Source organism: Homo sapiens, chromosome 10, assembly GCF_000001405.40.
Source record: "Homo sapiens chromosome 10, GRCh38.p14 Primary Assembly".
Lineage (NCBI taxonomy): Eukaryota > Metazoa > Chordata > Mammalia > Primates > Hominidae > Homo > Homo sapiens.
Window position 1 is genome coordinate 116,288,329 of NC_000010.11, and position 26,957 is coordinate 116,315,285.

Below are 26,957 nucleotides of genomic sequence, written 5' to 3' on the forward strand. Positions count from 1 at the left end.
TTGTAAGGACACCATTATCACCCTATTGTTCTGATTGGTTTGAACTAGATGGTCTCTCAAACTCAGAAGTGCAATGAGTTCAATCAAGTTAGACATTTCAATTCCATTTTTGGTAGAAGGAGAGTCTATCCCAGGAACCTGGAAAGTTCTGAGCCTTGGGATGAATGAGAGGCTACAAACTCTCAGCCCATGGACAAATGTGTTTTGTTTGGTTTGCACAGAGCTTTTAAAACCTTTAAATAGCTTACATAGTTCTCTTTAAAGGCAATTTACACACTGGAAATTTTTTGATGAAAATTCATATTTCCAGCTTCTCTTGAAAAATCAAAAGATCTGGTAACTCGGGACCCGAGTACTCATATAGTACTGATAGGCTAAGTAGTGGTGATCTACTTTATATGATGAATAAAAGTTTAGTCCACCACAGTTCCCACCACTTCATATTGGATAATATAAAACCAGCATGCTGAATGCAATTACATAACCTGCTTGGAGCCTGTAGGCAACTATGTCTGTAACTCCTAGTCTAAACTGTAAATAATTTTATTCCTCCTCCTACTACTAATAATAGTCAAGCTTCTAGTGATTAAACACTTACTATGAGTCAGGCACAGTGGCAGGTCTTTTGTGTGCAGTGTCTCAAGTCTTCATATCAAGCATTCAAGACAATTATTTATTTTGTAAACAAAAATATGAGATTTATGTTCAAATTAAATAATTCAAAAAATATATAAAAAGCACCACCCTGGCCGGGCGCGGTGGCTCACGCCTGTAATCCCAGCGCTTTGGGAGGCCGAGGCAGGCGGCTCACGAGGTCAGGAGATCGAGAGCATCCTGGCTAACACGGTGAAACCCCGTCTCTACTAAAAAAATACAAAAAATTAGCCGGGCGCGGTGGCGGGCGCCTGTTAGTCCCAGCTACTCGGGAGGCTGAGGCAGGAAAATGGCGTGAACCCGGGAGGTGGAGCTTGCAGTGAGCCGAGATAGCGCCACTGCACTCTGGCCTGGGCGAAAGAGCGAGATTCTGTCTCAAAAAAAAAAAAAAAAAAAAAAAAAAAAAAGCACCACCCTGACCCAGGTATTGTACTAAACATTGGGTATGAAATGCTGGACAAGGCAGCCAGAGCCCCTGCCCTCATGGAATTTACAGTTGAATTACAAGCATGGTTACAAAGTAAACGTATAGATTGCTGTGAAGGTATAAAGCAGTGGGGATCTAATGTGGTATGTATCAATGTCCTCACATTTTTATATTAGAGTCATTCGGAGAGCTTGCAGGTTCCAGCTGCATCCCTACCTGTTCCATTTCTCTGTCTCTCTCTCCCTTCCTCCTTCCTTCTCTCTGTCCCTCTCTCCCTTCCTCCTTCCTTCTTTTTCTCCCTCTCTCTCCCTTCCTCCTTCCTTCTCTGTCTCCCTCTCTCTCTTCCTCCTTTCTTCTCTCTCCCTCTGCCTTCCTCCTTCCTTCTCTCTCTCCCTCTCTCTCCCTTCCTCCTTCCTTCTCTGTCTCCCTCTCCCTTCCTCCTCCCGACTCTCTCTCCCTTCCTCTCTCTCTCCCTCCCTCCCTTCCTTTTCTCTCTCCTGCCTTCTGCCCTCTCTCCCTCTCCCTTCCTGCTTCCCTGTCTCCTTCTCTCTCTTTCTCTCTCTCTCTCTCTCTCTCTCTGTTTTCTGATTACCTAGGCTTGGGTGGCCAGGAATCTGTACTTTTCAAAATTATGGTAAAGTATAGATAACAAAAAATTTACCCTGTAGACATTTTTAAGTGTGCAATTCAACAGCATTAAGTACACTCACATTGTTGTGCAGCCATCAGCACCAACCATCTCTAGAACCTTCTTCTAGATCTTCTGAAACTTCTTCTGAATCTGAAACACCATAAAACTCCCCATTTCCACGCCTGCCAGCAGCATAATGTCTCAACCTTCATCCAGCTCTGGAACCTTTTTCTAGATCTTCTGAAACTTCTTCGGAATCTGAAACACCATAAAACTCCCCATTTCCATGCCTGCCAGCAGCATAATGTCTCAATGTTCATCCATCTCTAGAACCTTTTTCTAGATCTTCTGAAATTTCTTCTGAATCTGAAACACTATAAAACTCCCCATTTTCATGCCTGCTAGCAGCATAATGTCTCAAGGTTCAGCCAGGTTGTAGCAAGTATCAGAATTTCCTCCCTTTTTAAGGCTGGATAATATTCAATTGTATGTATATGCCAAGTTTTATCCATTCATCTCTTGATGTGCACTGCTGTGAATAAAGTTGCTATGAACATGGGTGTAGAAATACCAGTTCAAGTAGGAATCTACACTTTGTTTTTCTTTTTTAGGAATTTCTTTAATTTTATTTTAAGTTCTGGGTTACATGTGCAGGATGTGCAGGTTTGTTGCATAGATAAACATGTGCCATGGTGGTTTGTGGCACCTATCAACCCATCACTTAGGTATTAAGCCTACTATGCATTAGCTATTTATCCTGATGCTTTCCCTACCCCCGCAACCCCGCTCCTCAGGCCCCATTGTGTGTTGTTCCCCTCTTTGTGTCCGTATGTTCTCATCATTTAGCTCCCACTTATAAGTGAGAACATGCGGCATTTGGTTTTCTGTTCCTGTGTTAATTTGCAGGATAATGGCCTCCAGCTCCATCCATGTCCCTGTAAAGGGCATGATCTCATTCTTTTTTATGGCCGCATAGTATTTCATGGTGTATATGTACCACATTTTCTTTATCCAGTCTATCATTGATGGGCATTTAGGTTCATTCTATGTCTTTGCTATTGTGAATAGTGTTGCAATAAACGTATGCATGCATGTGTCTTTATGGTAGGATGATTTATATTCCTTTGGGTATATACCCAGTAATGGAATTGCTGGGTCAAATGGTGTTTCTGGTTCTAGGTCTTTGAGGAATGAACCACACTGTCTTCTACAATGGTTGAACTAATTTACATTCCCACCAACGGTGTAAAAGTGTTCCTATTTCTCCACAGCCTCGCCAGCATCTGTTGTTTCTTGACTTTTTATAATTGCCATTCTGACAGGTGTGAGATGGTATCTCATTGTGGTTTTGATTTACATTTCTCTAATGATCAGTGATGTTGAGTTTTTGTTCATATGTTTGTTGGGTGTATAAATGTCTTCTTTCAAGAAGTGCCTGTTCATGTTCTTTCCCCACTTTTTAATGGGGTTGTTTGTTTTTTTTCTTGTAAATTTGTTTAAGTTCCTTGTAAATTCTGGATATCAGACTTATTCTTTTTCTTTTTTTTGAGATGGAGTCTGGCTCTGTCACCCAGGCTGGAGTGCAGTGGCATGACCTTGGCTCACTGCAAACTCTGCCTCCCGGGTTCACGCCATTCTCCTGCCTCAGCCCCCCGAGTACTTGGGACTACCGGCGTCTGCCACCATGCCCAGCTAACGTTTTGTATTTTCAGAGAGACAAGGTTTCACCATGTTAGCCAAGATGGTCTCAATCTCCTGACCTTGTGATCCACCTGCCTCGGCCTCCCAAAGTGCTGGGATTACAAGCATGAGCCACCGCACCCGTCCATCAGACCTTTGTCAGATTGATACATTGCAAATATTTTCTCCCATTCTGTAGGTTGTCTGTTCACTCTGATGTCAGTTTCTTTTGCTGAGGAATCTGCACTTTTACCAATAACCCAGGTGAATCTTATACAGGTGGGTCATGAGCCAGACTTTGATAAATGATGGTCTAAGAGTCAGGGAAAGTCTCTCTGAGAAGTTGACCTTGAAACTGAGTCTCAAATCATGTATAGGAGTTGCCCAATTTAGGGGAGGTAACAGCACGGATCCTGGAAACCTGAAAATGTAGATTTCGAACTTTGCCTGAAATACTGAGATATTGGAATTGCCACAGGAACATTCATCAGCACCGAGGTTTGCAAATGTGTGTCATAACTTAGTTGAATAACTAAAACAAGTGTCCCTAATCAATTACTCTTAATAATTATGTGCTAAGTGTCTCCTATATGTCAGGCACCTTGTTAGGTATAAGAAATATCATGTATCCATTTATCCATTTACTTACAGTGAGCCAGGTGATGTGCTAGGTGTTGAAAACTTACAGGAATTGTTGTACTATATAATTTTGTTAATTGTTTTACAAAATCCACATATATCACTTGTCAATAATTTTTCTCTGTGCTGATCCCTAAGAACATCAAATAATTAATACTTACACACTTATCTGTAGGCTCCTGAACTGATGGCATGAGAATTCTTTTTCCTCCTCTGTAAGTGATGGAATTTACCACTGGTGATCATTGCTGAGTTTTTAAGGCATTCTTTATTTCAACTGTTAACCTATCTTTTTGCTACCATTGATTTCTGGGTTTCCATGTTTAAGGATGACTTGCATATTTACCAAAGTTCATCAAAGCTGTAAGAGTTATCTTGACACATTGATAGAAAGCTGTGGTTCTTTGAGAGGGAAGATAGAGGAAGTCATTTATGACTAAATTACTTTTTAAAAGCCTGATACTATGAAAAGAACATCTAATGATACATAATTTTAAAGTGCAATTCAAAGATAAAAGGTTTAGACTGCAGAGGTCTCAAAGAAATTCAGGAGAACACTTTTCTGAATATTTACATCACTTAACGTAGCTGATATCATAGTCTACCTTGTATTAAAATTATTATTTTACCTTATCAGAGTACAAGTTTCTTGAAGGTAGGAACCATTTCTTAATCTTTATCTTTGAATACCTCTCAGCATTAGCGCTGAGTAACCTCCAGCATTGAATAACTCACAGTATATCATGTACTGAACACTACATAGTAAAATAGATACCCAATAAACATTCAATGATTGGACAAATAAATGAACATGATTCATGGAAGAGCAATTTGGAAAGAAGCAAACTTGAGTTACCATTTGCTTAAAATAAACACACTTCTGTGTCAGAGCAAGTAGGTGGCAAAATGATGATTTAATATAAAAACAAAATACTGCAAATAAAACATTTACTTTATTTTCAAAGGAAAGGAGTTTCAAAAATCTTTGAGAAGCTTGTCATTCATTCTTCAGAAAAAGCCCTTCTTGGAAGTGTGAGTACTCCGATCTGGAAGGGCAAACCAGATTAAATATCAGGCAGAGAGAAGTTGAATACCCTGTGCTTCTTGAGAAAAAGAGACTGCTTAGTGTGGGCTATGGAATCCAAGAAGACTAGTAGACATTTTTTGTAGTTTGTGCGTTGACAAGCCCAGTGACTCAGATTGACACCTAATGAGTGCTTTGAAGAAAGCATTCAGGAGAACACTTTTCTGAATATTTACATCACTTAACGTAGCTGATATCATAGTCTACCTTGTATTGATTTGATTACCTTGTAGGTAAGGAGAGAGGAAGAGGGTAGAAAACAAGGGATGCAGAGGAAAAGGAAGGAGGAAGTTTTAACTTAAATTTGAAAGGCTCTTTCTTTCCCTTCTCTTCCAGAGAAAGAGCGTGACTTAAACAAAGCAGTCAGTAAAAAAAAGATGAGCCTTAAACTATTATTTTCAATGACTTTGAAACATCTTCTTCTGGAATAACCTTTTTGAAAATAATTTCATATTTGGTCATTTTGGGGAGAAAATTCTTGCAACCAAAGTTGTTTATGTTGAAGCTCACATATACCTGCTTATCTCCCATCTATCATTTCTGAGAGCTAAATCATGTCCCAGTTACTTGCTTCGCTGGCTTTCATGGGAAGGAATTCAAGAAAAATTTTGAATCTGTTTATTTCTATAGATTCTCGGGAACTGACTTCCTGGGAGTGCGATGATATTATGCAGATTATTGTATGACACATAATGGCCCAGTGATTCCCAGTTTTTTGGCCTACATTTAATTGGAACACTTACTTTTAGAGAAACTTCAGTTGAAGTCAAATTCTTTGTAAACTAGGGGAAGCAGAAATAGCAAAGTGAAGGGAGAGGCTAAGAAGTCAAGAGAGAAGACTTGGAAAGACAGAGAAAGGAGTTTGCAAAGTCCTGTGATTCTCCCCAAATGCAAAAATGAAATTTGGCTGATGTACTGTAACTTAAACCATATTGTTTCTGGTGAGTATAATACTATATAAATTTTTAAATCCTGTCATTTTATGGGGCTGACTCGAGAAGTCTGGACAGAATGGGTTTACAGTGTATGTCAGAAAATCAAAATCAAGTGCAAAGGCTTCATTTCAGCTTGTTCTGGGCTGCGTCTTATGGAACCAGGACTAAAGCCAGCAATGCAACAACTTCCCTCCACTGTCTGATGCTACCTCATATATCACTCCTGGTATGTCACTGGCACTGCTAAAAAATGAATTTTTAAAAAAATCTGGGAATTATCAACATAAGAAAATGATCATGTGCAGCAATCTACTTCCAGTGATTTCTTGTTTCTAAAAGGACACAACCTGAGGTGCGGAGTCAGTCACCAGAGCACTCTGCTCTGAAGCAAGTCCATGCTGTGGCAGGCATCTGGTCTCTTATTCATCTCTCCATACCTGGCACAATAGGGAAGCTTCATAACTGTTTGTGGAATGGAGTGCGATGATATTATGCAGATTATTGTATGACACATAATTAGGGAGAGCCTTCTAATTTGTGAAGCAAGCAATTGCCCATGTGAAGTGATTACCCAATATAACAAGTGTTAATTACTCAGCTCTTTGGATTAATTCAATGTTGCCAAGAACATATTGTTTTGATTAATTTGAACCACATGAAATTGCCAACACTTGACCATTTTTGATCTCCCAAATTGCAGTTTCATATGGTTCAATCTAATATTCTAATTATCATATTAGTTGTAAGTTGAACCTTATGTGGTTGCTATTTGTATAGGACAAACACTGTTAACTACCAAAAACATCAGAGAGTTCAACTATCTACCCATTTAGGTATTATATAATTATTCATCATTACATGGTAAAAACAGCTACCACTATCTATTGAGTGTGTACTGTGTCCACATACTTTGCTAAGTAGTTTATATACTTTACTTTATTCAATCTTATGAGGTAGGTTCTAATATTATCCCTCAACTTATGCTGAAAGAGACCTTAGTGATCAACAGGTCCAATCTTTGTTTATTTATTTATTTATTCTTTTTTTTCTGAGACAGTCTCTCACTCTGTCACCCGGGCTGGAGTGCAGTGGTGTGATCTCGGCTCACTGCAACCCCTGCCTCTGGGGTTCAAGTGATTCTCCTGCCTCAGCCTCCCGAGTAGCTGGGACTACAGGGGCGCGTGACCATGCCCGGCTAATTTTTGTATTTTTATTTATTTATTTATTTTGAGAGGGAGTCTTGCTCTTTCGCGCAGGCCGGAGTGCAGTGGCGCTATCTTGGCTCACTGCAAGCTGTGCCTCCCGGGTTCACGCTATTCTCCTGCCTCAGCCTCCCGAGTAGCTGGGACTACAGGCGCCCGCCACCACGCCTGGCTAACTTTTTGTATTTTTAGTAGAGACGGGGTTTCACCGTGTTAGCCAGGATGGTCTCCATCTCCTGACCTCGTGATCCGCCTGCCTCGGCCTCCCAAAGTGCTGGGATCACAGGCGTGAGCCACTGTGCCCGGCCTAATTTTTGTATTTTTAGTAGAGACGGGGTTTAGCCATATTGGCCATGCTGGTCTCAAACTCCTGACCTCAGGTGATCTGCCCACCTTGGCCTCCTAAAGTGCTGGGGTTACAGGCATGAGCCACCGCACCCAGCCAGTGACAGGTCCAATCTTTACATCTGACAGGAGGCAGAGACTCAAAAAAGGTTACATTACAGCTGGCCAACAGCTGGGTTCTGGGCTGCCCTTAGCTCAAACTGAGAAGTAGGTAAAGCTATTCCCTGTCCTCCCACCTCCCTTTCCCAGGCCTGTCCTCTTTTTCTGTATTATTTATAAGAACATTAATAGCAGTGACGTTTATGGAGCTTTTTCTTAGAGACATGGCATAGTGTAATGTTTAAAGACTTTGGAGCCAGAGAGCCTGGACTCAAATCTTGGCCCCTCTACCTCCTCGTGTTTTATTCTCCAAGTCCTGATCATTACATAGCATTTCTCTGGCACTCCCTAGCCTTTCAAAGTACTTCTTTTTTATTTTCTTGTTTCCGTCCTGGTTCAGCTTCCTGTGTGCTCAACCTCTGTCCTCCCTCCATATGGTTTTTCCTTGATGATCTCATCCATTTTGACGGCTTCAACTCTCACCTCCTCGTCTTTGACTCCCAGATCTTTATCTTCTCTCCGTCTTCTCTTCCAAGGTCCAGGTCTAAATTTTCAGCTGTCTGCCAGACTCTTGTAAATGTCACACCAGAAACTTTAAGTCATGATGTCCAGAATCGAATTCATTGCCTCCGGCCATCCTCTTATTACCCAGGCTCAGCCCTCTTGTGTCTACTGCATCCCCCACTCAGGCAGCTGCTGAGCCTGACAGTTTCACTTCTGCCACTCCTCCTTTATTGCTCCCCTTCTTTTCGTTCCACCTGCCCACTCCAATCATGCCCTCACTCCCTTCCTCCTGGCCTTTTCCTTCCAGTTGGCCCCTACCCTCATTGCGGGGATGACCTTCCTAGACTTGAACTAGGATTCTGGCTCTCCTACCAGAGAACATTCAGTTGCTTCTGGTTGTCTGTAGAGGAAAGTTCAAATTCTGTTTGGCTCCAACTTTTCCAGTCCTAACTTCAACTTCTCTACTCCATATATCTGATATGCCACATGTACTGGACTACTCACTCCACTGCTTCCTGTATATCTATCTATGTTTCTACCTTTTGTCTATGTTATTCCCTTTGCTTCACGTTCTTTTCTCCATCTGTCTTACCCATCTTTCAAGATCCAACTCAAATGCCCCTTTCACATGTCTATCACACCATCATACACTAGGTCCTCAATTAAAATGTGAACACTAAATTGCTCAATGTGATTTTTAAAAATGATGTCTGCAAAGTAAAGTAATTGAACTGTACTTTTGAGTCAGTGAAAGAACAGACTCCAGACTACCTTTCTGTCTCCCAAAGTGTAGTCATCCTTTTAGAAGGGTGTTCCTCTCTTTCAGGCAGCAATTATTACAGTCAAGCTGGCCTGTCCAGCCTAAATCCTGTATCCTCTTGAAAAGCCTGAGAACATCTCATCCCTCATGAAGAGTCTAAGGTCTTCCTTCCTTTCTTTGAAGAAGCTCCCAGGATTCTTGGGTGGCAACACTTTGACCTTCTTTTTCCCTTGGGCATGCTAAACTCAGCTGTCCTTTGTAAGGATTCATTACTCAGAGTACTCAGTTATTTCAAACCCCAAACCTGTAGGGAAGAAGGTTTTTTTTAAAAAAAAATACTATCCCTGTGTGTTTGTGGAGAGGACGGTATATTTGATGAGGGCAGAGAAAGGTTTTGAAAGTAATCATAGGCTGCTCTTATGATTACCAACTGAAAACACTGGTGATACTTAGAAATGGCTAAAGATAACTTTCCACACTATATTTATATTTGGGCTAAGATCAAACACGAGAAATGAGTTAGAGAGACAAGTAAATATGAGCTGATCATGAAAGGTCATTCATTCTTCATCTAACAGCTAAGAGGCAACATTGAAAAAAGATGCACTTCCTACTGAAGTTTGTCCTTGAACTAACAACCGATTACAGAATTTTAATTTAATATTACAGCATATGTTGTCTTTCTGAATTTAAAAAGCCATGAAGATGCCAAATCTTTTCAAGTTCTGCAGAAGAATAGTGTCACCAAAATAAGGTCATCAGTGGTAGTATTTATAATAAATTTACAATTTCTGAAAAAATGAAATCAATATATACAATTAATATTGCAAATAAACGTCAAAATGACATACTTCCTGCCATATAAATGAACTCTGTTTCACACATAAATGTGTTTTGTGGCAATAGTTCAAAATTCTTTTTCTTCAACAGTAAGCAGATTGAATGAAATAAAAAATGATGTGCCAGGACTTAAAGGTACAAATGGTACAAATTTCAAATTATTGATTGCTGACTGTGCTTACAGACATCAAACAATACTTTTTCAGGCAGCTATAATAGTCCGCTTCAACAGAGACATGATCTATTACAGGAAAATTGAAAATATGGGGACTATTTGACTGGTCAATGGTCATTTTAAATTATTAAGGTTTGGGGATGGGTTTTCTTAGGTTATAGAAAATACAATGCAAACTAAATGAAATCTCATTAACTTCAAACCTTTTTTTACCAAGCACCTTTGTTGTAGTTTGAAAAGTACCAAGATGTTCAGCCAGAATATAAACTCACTTTGCATTAGAAGAAGTGCACATTTGGGCAAAATCAATAGTCAATGACATCCCTTAATGGAAATCCTAGCAGGCCAGAGCAATCACTCTTGAGAGACCAAGACTGTATTTCTGCAGGCAAGAATTTTTCTCGGGGACTAACTTCTGATGTATAGGTGAGACTTGTTCTCTAACAGAGTGTGAATCTGAGCTCTCTCAACCTGCCCACTCCTTCAAAATCGTTCTTAGGTAACATCTTCCCACAAGTAAGAGTTGAGTACAGCATCAAAATTAAGTCAGCAATCCTGCATCATTGCACTTGAGGTGCTCCTTCCAACACCAGGAAATAAGAAGCAGATTTGTGTATTAGAAAAGATCTATTGGTCAGAACTTTTCTAGTTGCAAGCGACAGAAACCAAACTCAAACCAGCTCAGGCCAAAAAGACAATTTATTGTAGCAGCTTATCAGAAAGTGCAAATTAGGCTGGATCTAGGGGTTCAGATGATGTCCTCAGGAATGTGTCTGTTTCTTCCCATCTCTCAGCTGTGCTTCCTCTGTAAAGGATTCATTCCCAAACTGGCTGTAGCCAATGGAGAACACTTAACAGGTAGGGCTGCTGAGAGCTGGTGCAGATCTGGAGGAAAGTTTTGTCTTCAGGCATTTCCAGCAAGGGTTAACTGGTTTAAAACAATCTTTACAACTAACTTTATGTTGGTCTATACACTGGAGTCCAGAACACTCCTTTGGACTCTGTCTCCCAGTAACAGGTACTATCTTCCTATCCCCTTCTTCCTCCCAACACACATGCTCCCAACTCCATCCCCTCCTTGGCCTAGCTCATAGGCTTGCATGGTCCTGCACTTATGATTTCACTAGGCAACTGTCTCTGTCTCTGTCTCTGTCTGTCTGTCTCTTTCCCATGCCCCTCCCAATTTATATCAAATTTCAAGGCATTATACCCACTGACCCTGATTGGGTATCCCTAACTCTGGCCAATCACTATGCCTGGCAAGGTGGAATATTCTAGTAGGCCTAGGACATGCTGATCTCCATGGGAAGTAGAGTCTTCTTTGATACAGCCTCACCAATTACACACACAATTAGGGTAAGGGGAGCAATGCTCAAAAAGAAGTGTTCTACCTTACACAAACAAGAAACAAACTCCACCTCAACTACTGAAACCATTGGGAAGAATCAGGACTTGCTGTTTTATGTGATTTTCCCTGAGTCTAGATTTCTGGCCTAGCTGAGAGCCATAAAATCAGTTGAAATGAGTCGAATCTGAAAACCCTTGCTAGGAGCTAAATAGGGAAAAGAAGGCTTGTTTCTTCCTCATGCTGTGGCATTAGATCCAACCTCACCGGTAATATGTTGCTCAAACTTGCATGTGTACCTAGGCTTCAACATGTGGACAGGGAACCCAGCTTTGGGGTAGTGAAGCCGGTGGTTATGGCAGGACAAGAGAGGAGGCTTCAGCATGGGGAGAATTCTCTTACCTTGGAATCCGGCTAAGGTAGTGAATATGGCAATTCTGGTACAAACCTCGTCAAATAAAGATGCACTGAGCATCTCTATGTATCAGGCAATGTGGGGACATAGTCATGAATTTTTTAAAAAAAATTCCCGGCCAGGCGCGGTGGCTCACGCCTGTAATCCTAACACTTTGGGAGGCTGAGGTGGGTGGATCACGAGGTCAGGAGGTCGAGACAATCCTGGCCAACATGGTGAAACCCTGTCTCTACTAAAAATACAAAAATTAGCCGGGCATGGAGGTGTGTGCCTGTAATCCCAGCTACTCGGGAGGCTGAGGCAGGAGAATCGCTTGAACCTGGGAGGTGGAGGTTGCAGTGAGCCAAGATCATACCACTGCACTCCAGCCTGGGAGACAGAGCAAGATTCCATCTCAAAAAAAAAAAAAAAATTCCCTGCCTTCAGGAAATTCACCAATGTAGGGGATCACAGAAAAGCAAATTGCTAACTACAACACAATGTGATTAGTGCTATGAGAATGGTCTAACAAAGTGTTAAAGGAGCAGAGAGAGGAGTGATTCATTTTTCCAGGGGTGGAGGGAATTAACACCATCAGGACAGTGGGATTGCGGTGCACCAGTGGAAGTTCCCAGAGGAGGTGGCATATGACCTGAAGAATGAGAGGGAGTGTGAAAACTTAGAAGCAGGAGAACAGCATTTCAGGCAGAGGAAACAGTAACAACAAGGAGGGGTGAAAATCAATTCCACATCTTTTTAGTAGTTGCTGGCCAAGTTTCCAAGACCAGGGGGAGGATTGAAGCAATTATTGAGAAAACTGTCTCAATCTTCCCTTTTCTCCTGGCTGTGGAAATTTGGCCACTGCTGCACTTTTGTAAGAGAAAGAGTCTTGATTTCAGAGACCACACAATATTAAGTGATAGAAAAATTATTTTTTAGACAGAATGGAGAAAAACCACAGCACCTGAATTCAACTGGGAAAACTAGATTTTGTGAGAAAGGAAAACAAAAAGCTTTCTCATCTTTCTCTGTCTTTGTCTCTCTCTCAATTCATTCTTCCCTTTTCCTTTTTTTTTATGTTAGGGGGGAGTTTGACTTGAGATAGCAAGTTCATTGAGCAAGAACCATATGTATATATGCATTTTCTGCCTTGCAAAAGCTTAGTAAATACTTGTAGTAGGATGATGTAATTATTCAAATATTTTTTCAAGAATATACTAGCATGGGCCAGGTGTGGTGGCTCATGCCTGTAATCCCAGCACTTTGGGAGGCCAAGGCAGGTGGATCACCTGATGTCAGGAGTTCGAGACCAGCCTGGCAAACATGGTGAAACCCCATCTCTATTAAAAATACAAAAATTAGGCAGGTGTGGTGGTATGCACCTGTAGTCCCAGCTACTCAGGAGGCTGAGGCAGGCAAATCGCTTGAATACGGGAGGTGGGGGTTGCAGTGACCTGAGATCAGCGCCAGTGCATTCCAGCCTGGGTGACAAAGTGAGGCTCCATCTCAAAAAAAAAAAAAAATGTACACACACACACACACACACACACACATCGAAATCAAAATCAAAATGAAGAGCGACTCCAGGAATTGTTCCCCATACTCTCTTCTCCATTATCCTATCTCCCCAAATGTCTGGGAAGCTTGTTAGCATGCAATAAGATTTGAATAAGATTTGAAGATTAAATAACATTAAATGTTTGTCTTGCAAGAAAGAGACTATAAATTTATATGAAACAAGACATTGGTAGAAAGGCATGTAGAAACATGATGGAGGGAGAAATTCCAGCTTAAAATCCACAAAATGCATTGCAAATGCAGAGATACCAAATGGAACTCAGTTTGAGTTTCAGCCCTATGATTTCTGAACTGTTTAACTTTGGACAGTAGCTTCACCTCTTTAAATCTCCGTTTTAAAATGGGGATAATGACAGTGCCTACAGCATAGGGTTGTTTTGAGGATTGAAAGGAATAATCATGCAAAAATGATTCACACAGTTCCCGGCCCACAATTTTATCTTAAAATCAGCAGAGCAATGGCATGCACGCATACATCTGAGATATTGCAGATTCTGTTCCAGACCACCACAATAAAGCAAGTTACATTAATGTTTTTTTGGTTTCACAATGCATATAAAAGTTATGTTTAGCGGGTGGATCACCTGAGGTCAGGAGTTGAAGACCAGCCTGGCCAACATGGTGAAACCCCATCTCTACTAAAAATACAAAAATTAGCCAGGCATGGTGGCGCTTGCCTATAGTCCCAGCTACTTGGGAGACTGAGGCAGGAGAATAGCTTGAACCCGGGAGGCGGAGGTTGCAGTGAGCCGAGATTGCGCCACTGTACTCCAGCCTGGGTGAGAGAGTGAGACTCCGTCTCAAAAAAAAAAAAAAAAAGTTATGTTTATACCATTCTGTAGTCTATTAAGTGTGCAATAGCGTTATGTCTAAAACATGTAAGTACCTTAATTTAAAAATACTTTATTGCTAAAAAATGCTAACAATTATCTGAGCCTTCAGTGAGTCAAAATCTTTTTCCTGATTGGTCTTTCTCTAACGTTGATGGCTGCTGAATGATCAGGGTGGTAGCTGCTGAAGGTTGGGGTGGCTGTGACAATTTCTTAAAATACGACAGCAATGAACTTTGTTGCATCAATTGACTCTTCCTTTCAGGAAAGATTTCTCTGTAGCGTGTTGTACTGTTTGTTAGCATTTTACCTACAGTAGAACTTTTTTCAAAATTGGAATCAATCCTCTCAAACTCTGCCTCTGCTTGATCAACTAAATTTATGGAATATTCCACTACATCTTTTGCTGCCATTTCAACAATGTTCATGGCATTTTTACCAGGAGTAGACTTCATTTCAAGAAACCAGTTTCTTTACTCATGCATACGAAGCAACCCTCATCCGTTCAAGTTTTCTCATAAGATTGCAGCAATTCAGTCCCATCTTCAGGCTTCACTTCTAATTCTACTTCTTTTGCTTTTCCCACAATATCCATAGTAACTCCCTCCACTAAAGTCTTGAACCCCTTCAAGTCATCCATGAATGTTGGAATCAACTTCTTCTAAACTCCTGTTACTGTTGATATTTTGACTTCTCCCATGAATCACAAATGTCCTCAGTGGCATCTAGAATGGTGAATCCTTTCCAGAAGGTTTTCTTTTTCTTTTTTATTATCATTATTATACTTTAAGTTCTAGGGTACATGTGCACAATGTGCAGGTTTGTTACATATGTATACATGTGCCATGTTGGTGTGCTGCACCCATTAACTCGTCATTTACATTAGGTATTTCTCTTAATGCTATCCCTGCCCCTCCCCCAACCCCACAACAGGCCCCGGTGTGTGATGTTCCCTGCCCTGTGTCTAAGTGTTCTCATTGTTCAATTCCCACCTATGAGTGAGAACATGCGGTGTTTGGTTTTCTGTCCTTGCAATAGTTTGTTCAGAATGATGGTTTCCAGCTTCATCCATGTCCCTACAAAGGACATGAACTCATCCTTTTTTAAGGCTGCATAGTATTCCATGGTGTATATGTGCCACATTTTCTTAATCCAGTCTATCATGGACGCCAAAAGCAATGGCAACAAAAGCCAAAATAGACAAATGGGATCTAATTAAACTAAAGAGCTTCTGCACAGCAAAAGAAACTACCATCAGAGTGTACAGGCAACCTATAGAATGGGAGAAAATTTTTGCAATCTACTCATCTGACAAAGGGCTAATATCCAGAATCTACAAAGAACTTAAACAAATTTACAAGAAAAAAAAATCAAACAACCCCATCAAAAAGTGGGCGAAGGATATAAACAGACACTTCTCAAAAGAAGACATTTATGCAGCCAACAGACACATAAAAAAATGCTCATCACCACTGGCCATCAGAGAAATGCAAATCAAAACCACAATGAGATACCATCTCACACCAGTTAGAATGGTGATCATTAAAAAGTCAGGAAACAACAGGTGCTGGAGAGGATGTGGAGAAATAGGAACACTTTTACACTGTTGGTGGGACTGTAAACTACTTCAACCATTGTGGAAGACAGTGTGGCGATTCCTCAAGGATCTAGAACTAGAAATACCATTTGACCCAGTGATCCCATTACTGGGTATATACCCAAAGGATTATAAATCATTCTGCTATAAAGACACATGCACATGTATGTTTATTGTGGCACTATTCACAATAGCAAAGACTTGAAACCAATCCAGAAGGTTTTCAATTTGCTTTGCCCAGATCCATCAGAGGAATCACTCTCTATGGCAGCTATAACTTTATAAAATGTATCTCTCGAGCAGTTAAGACTTGAGAGTCAAAATTACTCCTTGATCTGTGGACTACAGAATAGATGTTTTGTTATCAGGCATGAAAACAACATTCATCTCCTTGTACATCTCCATCAAGGCTCTTGGGTAATAAGGTGCATTGAAAATGAGCAGTAATACTTTGAAAAGAATTTTTTTTTTTTTCTGAGGAGTAGATTTCAACACTGGGCTTAAAATATTCCGTAAACCATATTATAAACAGATATGCCGTCATCTAGGCTTTGTTTTTCCACTTTAAAAGCACAAGCAGAGTAACTTTAACATAATTCTTAAGGGGCCAAGAATTTTTGGAATGTAAGTAAGCATTGGCTTGAACTTAAAGTGGCCAGCTGCATTAACAAGAATCAGCCTGTCCTTTGAAGTCTTGAAGTCAGGTATTGACTTTTCCTCCATAGCTATGTAAGTTCTAGATGGCATCTGCTTCCCATATAAGACTGTTTTGTCTACATTGAAAATCAGTTGATTAATGTTGCCACTTTCATCAATTATCTTAGCTAGATCTTCTGGATAACTTGCTGCAGCCTCTCCATCAGCACTTCACCTTGCACTTTTATTTTACAGAGATGACTTCTTCCTAAAACTTCATGAACCAAACTCTGCTAGCTTCAAACTATTCTCCTGTAGCTTTCTCACCTGTCTTAGCCTTCACAGAATTGGAGAGAGTTAGGGCCTTGCCCTGGATTAGACTTTGGCTTAAGAGAATGTTGTGGCTGGTTTGATCTTCTATCCAGACCACTAAAGCTTTCTCTACGTCAGCAAAAAAGGCTTTTTTGGGTTTTTTTTTCTTCATTCTTATCATTCAAGTGTTCACTGGAGTAGCATTTTTAACTTCCTTCAAGAACTTTTCCTTTGCATTCACAACTTAGCTAACTGTTTGGTGCAAGAGATCTGGCTTTTGGCTTAACTTTTGGTATGCCTTTCTCAAAAATCTTAATCATTTCTAGCTTTGTATTTAAAGTGGGAGATGTGAGATTCTTCCTTTCACTTGAACACTTAGAAGCCATTGTATGGTTATTAATTGGCCTAATGTTAATATTATTGTGTCTCAAGCAATAGGGAGGCCTGAGGAGGGAAAGAGAGACAGGGGACTAGTTGGTGGTTGGAGCAGTCAGAACATACACAATATTGATAGCTTAAGTTCACTGTTTTATATAGGAATTAGTCATGGTGCTCACAAACAATTACAATAATAACACCAAAAATTACTGGTCACAGATCACCATCACAGATATAATAATTTGAAAGTTTGATATATTGCAAGAATTACCAAAATATGACACAGAGGCATGAAGTGAGCCTGTGGTGTTGGAAAAATGACACCAGTAGAATTGCTTAATGCAGGGTTGCCACAAACCTTCATTTTGTAAAAAGCACAATATCTGGGAAACCCAGTAAAGTGAAGTGCAGTACAACAACATATGCCTGACAAAAAATTGTTCCAGCTTTGGTATTAACCACAGAGCAGACGTTATCTCAAGATTGTAATCGGATACCATTGATCCCATCTTCACCATCTTTGTTCCTTCACCAAAATGTTGATATTAACATGATTTGGAGACTGTTATTATGACATTGATCCATGTTGGATACCATCCAAGGTCCAAGGAATGACTGCCAGTGCTTTTGACCCTCCTGTTATTTACAGAGAATAAAAGCGGGGGAGGCATTGGTCTCCCTTCCCTGAAAACCTTGGCCATTTGGCAGTACAAGAGTTTGATTGTTAAGAGAAAAGGAAGGAGTCCTAATATGATGTTAACACTTGGTCCAAAAGGCCATGATACAGACCTTTTCCCTACCCCATGGCAAAACTTCTGGTATCTGAAAATATACCTCAGATATAACACATCATCTTATGGGCATTAAGTTTGAGAATTAGCTAATGTTTGACATTGGCCTTGAGTTTTGTATTCTCTTTATAAGTAGAAGGAAGTCTAAGCTTCCTGCTGAACTGTAGTGTGGGTAACAGTGGTGGTGTCTATAGTTCAAAAATAAGTATGAACATTCCCTTTATGTTGCACATAAGAAGTAAGTACATAATTCAGTGTTGCATGTCCTTAAACTATATTTGCCCATTGGGCTTTTGACTTGGAATTTATTTATTACAAATGAGCTAACATATGAATTTAGGTAGAAACAGGAGTCATGACAATTTTCCGTAAGCTGCCTAGTAAATAAACGTTCTCGTACCTTATTTTTATAGCAAATTCTTCCAAAATATTCATAATTTATCTCATTTACTGTACAAGGAATAAGGTATGCATGATTAGAGATATAAAATTAAAATAAATACTTGGAAGGAAGCACTTAGGACTGTATACACTGTGGGCAGAATTCCCCATGACTTTGTTCACATACCTGCCATTTAAATTCACTCTTTGCTGGATATGTACACTAAAGGGATGTGTTGACTATGAGTTACTGAAACATCTGAATGGTTGCAAAATATGGATCCTTCTATTTATCTATCATTCCAAATGAACATTAAGCATAAAGGAAGTTATAGTTTAGAAAAAGAGCAGCATGAAGTTGGAATAATAGAATGAGTCACATTATGATTTGTATTCACAATGAAATTTGAGGAAAAATATTTGGCTGGAAAATCATAAAAGATATGTTCAATTTTACAAAATCAAGTAAGGATGACTATGCACAATGGGTAAAACCCGTGATTTCTATTCATAGTTAAATACTGGTTTCTTAGGTCAATTTTCCATGTGACATTACAATAGTCTTTGGCTATGATTACACTGAGTTCTCATCTTCCTTAAAATCGTGAAATTGAGGGAATTTTTCTAAATGGACAAAGATGCTATATATTTTTAGGCTTCTCATTTCAGAAAAGGCCCATTATAAAGTGGGGGCTTTTGAGTCTAGAGCCAGTTCTGTCACTTCTGCGTTTGAGCAAATTAGAACTTCAGTTTCCTGATTTGTAAAATAGTGACACGCACTCATGGTCTGCCCCTATGATGGCCAACAGTTTAGCAGAATGCTAGCCTAGACCTGAATCCCACATTTTGGAACTTTTGGCCAGAGGGAAGCTAAATGGCCTGTGACCAAGGCCTCAGTAGCAGCCTAAACAGAAATCCAGACCAGGGTTTGAAAAACAAATCGTATTTTGCAGAACATCATTGATCCAAACATGGTTAAGGATGCTTCATGAAATAAAGGGCTTTGTGGCCAAATAAATTTGGGAAGATCGTATTAAATGGAATGAATCAGGTTTCTTTATTGCAGGATGTCTCAGAACCTTTAATAAACCAATGTGCTTTGTGAGTCCCCAGGGGGACTAAAGAATGCAGTTTCCCAACTTGTTTTCACACGGAATCACTGTTTTTGTTTTTAAAGAAAATATGAAAATCTTGAGGAATATTAGGCGTTCTTTAAGCCACATCTAGGAAAATCTTTCTTTATGTAATTTTTCTGAAGTTCAGATATTTTAGCCTGGCACATTTTTCATAACAGGGTGGTAAAGAACCACAGTTATTCAATAAAATACTCTTTGGGAAGGGGATTTCTTAGAATTTTACATCCTTCACTGGAAGATCGTGGGGTTGTCTTCACTGATAACGAGTTAATTATGGCTTGTCAGTGATTTAACATTTTCCAAGCCGTAGAGATTGATGTAGACATAGAACAACATGGAACGTGGAAATTGGACTTAAGTGTGATCTTTTGGGAACCCAGTTGCACAATTTAGAGGTGATAAGAATTTCTTTTTTATGAATTAAAACAAAATTGTTAACTGCAGAGCAGAAGTCAGGTCAGACAGATCTACTGCTCCTGAGAATGTGCTGATTGTGGTTTGTATTTTACGGTAGCTGAAGAGTTTGAGTTGCTTGCTAATGACATCAAGCAACATTACATATATTATTAGTATCTTCAGATGCTGCAGTTCTATTTTGAAACATCTTTATGCTACATTTGTTCAAAGCATTGTCTTTCTGTGAAAAGACTTCACCTGTGAATTAATTTTTCATTATAAATAAACTATTGATAGTCTTAAAAAGTATTTCTACATATCTCTTTGTTGGAATTTGGAAGATATGCATTTTCTTTGAGTTCTATTTCTTCTGAAAACTAGTTGTTGACAAATACAACTGTCACAGTGATTGTAGGACTGAATGATCCTGTTGATTTCCTAATTTGTTGTTTGAATTGTAATGCCTCAAAATAAGAGCAGCCTCTTTATAACATTTTGTTATCTTATACTGTTTGGAAGATAAATTGTCTTAAGTGGAGTGGTTGCTGAAATTCTTTGTAGAACTGAAGTTTTAAATTCAAGGTCTATATTTGAGAAAATGTAGGTGGCAGGAATTTCTCTTTTTGAGGGAGGTGTTTCTAATCCAGGTAGCATAAAATTCTGGAGTTAAGTCTGATGTAAAAAAGATAAGATAAAGGAGATGAATTTCCAAGTCAAAAAGAGAGCTGGAATGCATATTAAAAAGAGTACAAGGAGTGCAAGTATTGCTGGAAGATACTGATCTCATTTCCTTTGGATATATACCCAGAAGTGGAATTGCTGGATCATATGGTAGTCCTATTTTTAATTTTTTGAGGATCCATCCATGCTGTTTTCCATAATGTCTGTACCGATTTACAATATGTTCTTTGCAGTATTATTCACAATATTCAAGACATGAAAACAACCTAAGTGTCCATCAACGGATGAATGGGTAAAGAATATACACAAATGGAATATTATTCAGTCTTAAAAAGGAGGAAATCTTACCATTTGTGTCAATATGCACGAATCTGAAGGACATTATGTTAAGTGAAATAAGCCAAAGGTAGAAAAACAAATAACACATGATCTTACTTATATATGGAATCTAAAAAAGTCAAAATCATAAAAACACAATAGAATGGTAGTTGCCAGTTGGCTGGGCATTTCAGAAATGGAAGATGATAGTCAAAGGGTACACAATTTCAGTTGTGCAGGATGAATAAATTCGGGAGATCTAATGTGCAGCATAGTGACTATAGTTAATAACACTGTATTACATACTTAATATTTGCTTTGAGGGTAGATCTTAAGTGTTCAGACCACACATATGCAAAAGGTGCCTATGGAAAGTGATGGATATGTCAATAAGCTTGATTGTGGTAATCACATCACATTATCAAATGTGAACATAATTCACCTTAAATATATACAATTTTTATTTGTCTAATATATGCCAATAAAGCTGGGGAAAAAGAGTGAAGGATTTAGGTTCAGATTCACCATGAAGCCTTGGGGAAATCATGCAGGCGGCTGTCCAGGTGTCAATTTCTTCATTTATAAAATGAAGAAAATAGACATCAGTAAACTGTGAGATAAAACATCTTTCATTAGAAATTTGGTATAGAAGGAAAGAACAAAAAGAAAAAATATGGACTCTAGGAACTATAGAATTCTTTCCACATGCTAAATGTGAAAAATCAGTAATACTGCTAGGACTCATATTTTCTTTATTCTTTGGTTACCATTTCACATGTAGATTAGCAATGGCTATTGCTTTGGGGGCAGAAAGCATCTGCAAATTTGACTCAATTTTCCACCTAGAATTTTGTATGTTGTTATATGCCTAGAATATGGGTATTTTTTTTTTTTTGCCATTTCTCATTTGAAAGGCTTTCACTTACTATGCCTATAAGCTATGATATTAAAGCTCAATGCCAGTAAAGTTTCAGGGAAAAGAGTGAGAAAATTATTTAAAAGGACTACTTTTGGAAAATGGCAGTGTTTTGACAGTTTTTGACAGGCAGTTTGGAATAATGCAACCTCTTGGATTACAGCCAACCTCTAAAATGGGCTGTAATTTAGGATGATGGCAGCTTCTATGACCTCTGTATTAGAGAGTCACTGGGATTAAAACAGAAAAAATTCTCCAAACAGTTGAGGTCTATATTTGAAAACCTGGTTTAAATGTTCTGATACGTAGCCATTTTATTTAATGAAAGAATTTTCTTGTCCTATGTACAACTCCACGTGCTTTTCCTAAAGCCGGGGAAGCTTTTCTGCCTTTTTGTGTGTGGTGAAACTCTTCTCTAATGAGCTGGTTATGGGCATGTTTGCCCCTTCTCGTCACTCGATGAAATTAGACACTTAGGCATAGGTAACTGTATCTTGTCAGCCCACAGAGGATGGAAGTCCCAGGCTGCTGCAGCTCCAACTTTCTTTTTCACACAAACATGCTGTCTCAGGTCTGAGTCAGGTCCTTAAGCCTTCTTTGAAAAATAAGATTTTATTACTCCCCCATTTCTGAGAGTTAAATGCTTTTTAAAGAGTTGTGTAATTTAAATATGAGCTGGGTGTGTGGTGTAGGATTTTTAACTGAACCGCAATTCTCCAAACATACCAATATTCCAAAATTGCCAGTTGCAGGCCATAAAATATTTACATTACAGAGTAAATAATGTATGTTTAGTAAGAAATGATAAAATATTTACAGTTTTTCTAAAGATACTGTATGGATTTTTTCCTCTGCCACAGCCATTTTTCTTGAAGTAGGCAAAATAGGCAACTTCAAGGGCTCTGAGAGTGACGGGGAACCATCTACGAAGGAGAAGAATGGTCCAAGGCAGTATATGGAAAAGTCTCCATGAGGAAAAGAAATGCCAGCTGATCCCAGCTATCAAGATGCATATTTCATATGGTTGAAGGTCTAGGGAGGCATTAGCAAACAATTTTGGTATCCTTACCATTAAATTGAAGGGTTGCTAGGCTCAGTTCACGTGACGCAGTCATTTGCCAAAGCTATTCTGTGGGAGCGTTGTAAACCTCAGAGGATGATGGTATGACCTTCCAAGCTTCTAAATAAATGCCTTTTCAAAACCTCCCCTACACATTCACTGACCCTGAACATGATACACAGAACAAAATCACAGTGTCACTAAATCATCACTGCACCTGTTTGGGAAGGAGCCTGAAAAAGCTCTTAACAAAGGTTTTCAACAGAATCTCCTGGGAGAGTCTTAAACAGAGATTCCCAGGTCCCCCATCCTCCTAAGAAATTCTGATAGGACGCATCTAGTGCGGGGCTGGGTAATCTATTTTTGAAAAGCTTTCCAAGTGGTGATCATCCAAGTTTGGGAACTGTTGTAGGTTGAACAATGGTCTCCAAAGATACCTGTGTTCTAAATCCTGGAACCTGTGAATGGCAAAATACCTTACATGGCAAAAAGGAGGTTGCAGATGTGATTACACGAAGAATCTTGGGATGGAGGGGTTATCCTGGATTATCTGGGTGGGCCCTAAATGTAATCAAAGTATACAAGAGGGAGGCAGAGAAAGATTTGACTGTGGAAGAAGAAGGCAAAGTGATGATAGATGCAGGATGCTATGAAGTTGACTTTGAAGATGGAGGAAGAGCCCATGAGCCAATGGATACAGGTAGACTTTAAAGTGTGAAAATGCAAGGAAAAAGATTCTCTTCCAGAGCCTCCAGAAGGAAGCAGCCCTGCTAATACCTTGACGTCAGCCCAGTGAAACTGATTTTGAACTTCTGACCCCTTTAGAACTGTAAGAGAATACATGTGTCTTGTTTTAAGCCCCTAAGTGTGTAGCAGTTTGTGACAGCAACAACAGGAAACTAAGACAAGAACCACTGCCAAAAACCATGTCAATTTTAATATCCCTTTATTGCTAAACACAATTCTTCAAGCCAGAACATTAAGGCCCTAGAATTTAACCTGTTCCCAACTGTGGAGGGACACAAAAGCAGCCTTCCCTGCTGGAAATTTTGCTGCCCCTCTTGCCATTTGTGTTGAGCACTTCTCCCGGTGTTACACTCCCTTGGGAATGCCACAGCTACCTGAAGAGGCAAGGCAGCAGTGTGGGACCATGGCCAATAACTGCATCCCTCAAGTTTGAACATCAAACCACAGAATTCATCATACCCCTCCTGTGTGATCAGCATTCTGCTAGCCACTGTGGGGAATTCAGAGAATCAGAAGAGGCCATTCCCCTCTCTCCTGCTGAGTACTGACATTGCACAGTGATTGCAAACACTTAGATTGCATTTCCAGCAATGCCAAAGCTGAGGCTTCCCTGGTTACAAAGGATATTGTCTCATCTTGGGACAGGACAAATACATCATTGCAGTTTAAGGGAAGAAGATGATGTCAAAGCATGGGTTTGCCCCTTACACTCTGACTAAAAGACCTGAAAATCAAATCATTTTACTATAGTTTTAGGCTCTCAATAAGCTGAGGGATGTACTAATGGTGCCTGTATTCCAAGGCGGGTGGGATGTATGAGTGGCGGGGGCTTAGGGGCTGGGAATCTCTATATTTTGTCAGTATTTGCTCCTATCAGAACTCCTCATGGTGAAAAAAAGAAAAAAAAAAAAGATGGCAGCTGCGTAGAGTTGGGATAGCATCTCGTTTCTATGACAACAGTGTCTGCTCTGTTTCCAAGCTCCATCTGGTATTTTCAGGCCTAACAACCAGGTAGCATGTAAATGCCTAATAGAAGAAAAAGGCAACCATACTGATTCTTTGGATCAGGCACAAATGAACACAGCAACACCATGCCTTTTCTAGGAAAAATAGTGAATTACTTTGACAGCAACAGGGTATTATGAAGAGAGACCACAAAGTACATAGAACGTGCTCAACTCTTATTTTACGGACTAGCACAACATGCACACACAATTAAAGTAGCTGTTGGGGCTGACAAAGTTTTTTTTTGTTTTTTTCCTACAGGCAATCTAACACTACTCTCATGGGATGATTCTTGCCTTCCACCCTTGCTCGCTTTTCCAGTCCTGTTTCGTGGAGTTTTGTGTGTTTTAGGTAATATGGATGCAGCAGCTCTTACCTGCCTCACTGACCTTCCCTTCAGATTTTATCCTTGCTGATTACTGTTCCCTGGTAGCTCTGCAGAATTTATGAGAAGCTAAATTTCAGTTTCTACTCCATGGGCCCTGGCTTACAGAAAAGCATGCTTTTAAAACAGCACAATACAACACAGCAGGTCTCCACCTTCTCATACCCCGACCTTGAACACAAGCTAGTGAAAGCACCTTTTTTATCTTCCTTAAGAATGCCATCATTACAAAGCTAGTATCTTTACAAAATTATAATTTATCTAAAATACAATACAATATGACATTATAGATAGGTTGCCATGTAGTATTTGGGACAAACTTACACTAAAAAATTATTCATTGTATACCTGATGTTCAAATTCAACTGGAAATTATATATTTTTATTTGCTGAATCTTGGAAATCCTATTTACAGACAGGAATATAGGCTTTTAAATTCTTTGGATCACTTAGGATTTGATACAGTATATCAAAATGCCAATACACTGAATTCAGTATTGGTTTCTAGCATTTTCTAGTTATTAAAATGAACACTTAAATGTTCATTGTTTAGACCAAAAACTATTGTTCATGCCAACCCTTGCATACATTCATTTTCCTTTATTCATTCATCTGACACAAAGTCATTGGGAAATTGCTGTTTCCCTGATACTGTTCTAGGGGCTGGGAATCAGTGGTGTGCCCAAGACCGCCTCATGAAGCTACCATTTGATTGTGGCTCCTGGATTTTATTTCAGGATATTTACTCCCATTACATACACACCACTGTTTGATATACAAAGAACCATCAAATATGAGTCTCAGCAGAGAACTCACTGCCCTCCAAGAGCTGATAAACTATGTTAGATTAGCTATCTCCAAACTTCATCAAATCAATCCCATGGGCATTTAATTGCAGAGGACATTCAAATTGTCATTAATTCCTTTGATCTTTTTTTTTCACATTCTTTTCCTTTAATATTCTAGATTAGGAGACAATTGACTCTGGAAGGTTTAGTGATTACCTAATACAAACTCACTATCAGTTTCTGGAGTGTTTTCTTGTCCTCCCTGGGATCATTTGGATAGATTCTGGAATCTCTTCTTGTCCTTGCCACGATCTATATCCTCTATCCTCTTCTCTGGAGTACTGACATAAGATTGGGACTTACAAGTGATACTTCCATTTTCTTCCTCTTTTCTGTCTTGCCCCAACTCGTTTCTCTTTTGAGCTATTTTATCCATTTGGTACTGGTAACTACTAAAGTAGAGGAGGGAATTAAAGGTCTATAGTGTTCCAGAAAGTTCTTGAGACATGGACCTATTTTTAATGTTTTTTCTATATGACTCAGATTCTTTCCTTTCATATTTCACCTTTTGACTGTGACACACTTTTATGAGAATTCTATGTGGTTTATTGTATATACTCAGATACAATATTTAAAGTATGTAACCACTGTGGTAGACAGAATAATGGTCCCCAAAGATATCTGCATCTTAATCCCTGGAACCTGTGAATATGTCACCTTACTTGGCAAGAGGAACTTTGAAGATGTGATTAAGTTAAGGATTTTGAGATGGCGAGATTATCCTGGATTATCTGGGTGGGCCCAGTGGGATCATTAGGGTCTTTCTAAGAGGGAAGTGGGAGTGTCAGAGCAGCAGAGAGATTTGAGGATGCTACATTACTGACTTAAAGAAGAATGAAGAGGCCAGGAGCTAAGGGATTGGGCAACTTTTACAATCTGGAAAAGGTAAGGAAAGGAATTGCCTCTCAGAGCCTCCAGAAAGACTAGCAGCAGCTTGATTTTAGCTTACGAAGACCTATTTCAGACTTCTGACCTGCATAACTGTGAGATCACACACTTGTATTATTTTAAGTTGGTGATTTGTTACAGCAGCCATAAGACGCTAATACATCTATAGACCTAGGCACTGAGCAGTCAAAACTGACACTGAGCAGAGGCCTTTGGTTAAGCCAGGCATTAGCCAGTTAGATGCCAGACTGTGGGTAGTTCTGCCTGGTGGTGGAGGTAGAACAGCCAGAGTGATAAGGGTTGGTCTTGGAGGACTGGGAAGCAATTATTTGCCAATCTGTGTGGGAGCATTTCAATATA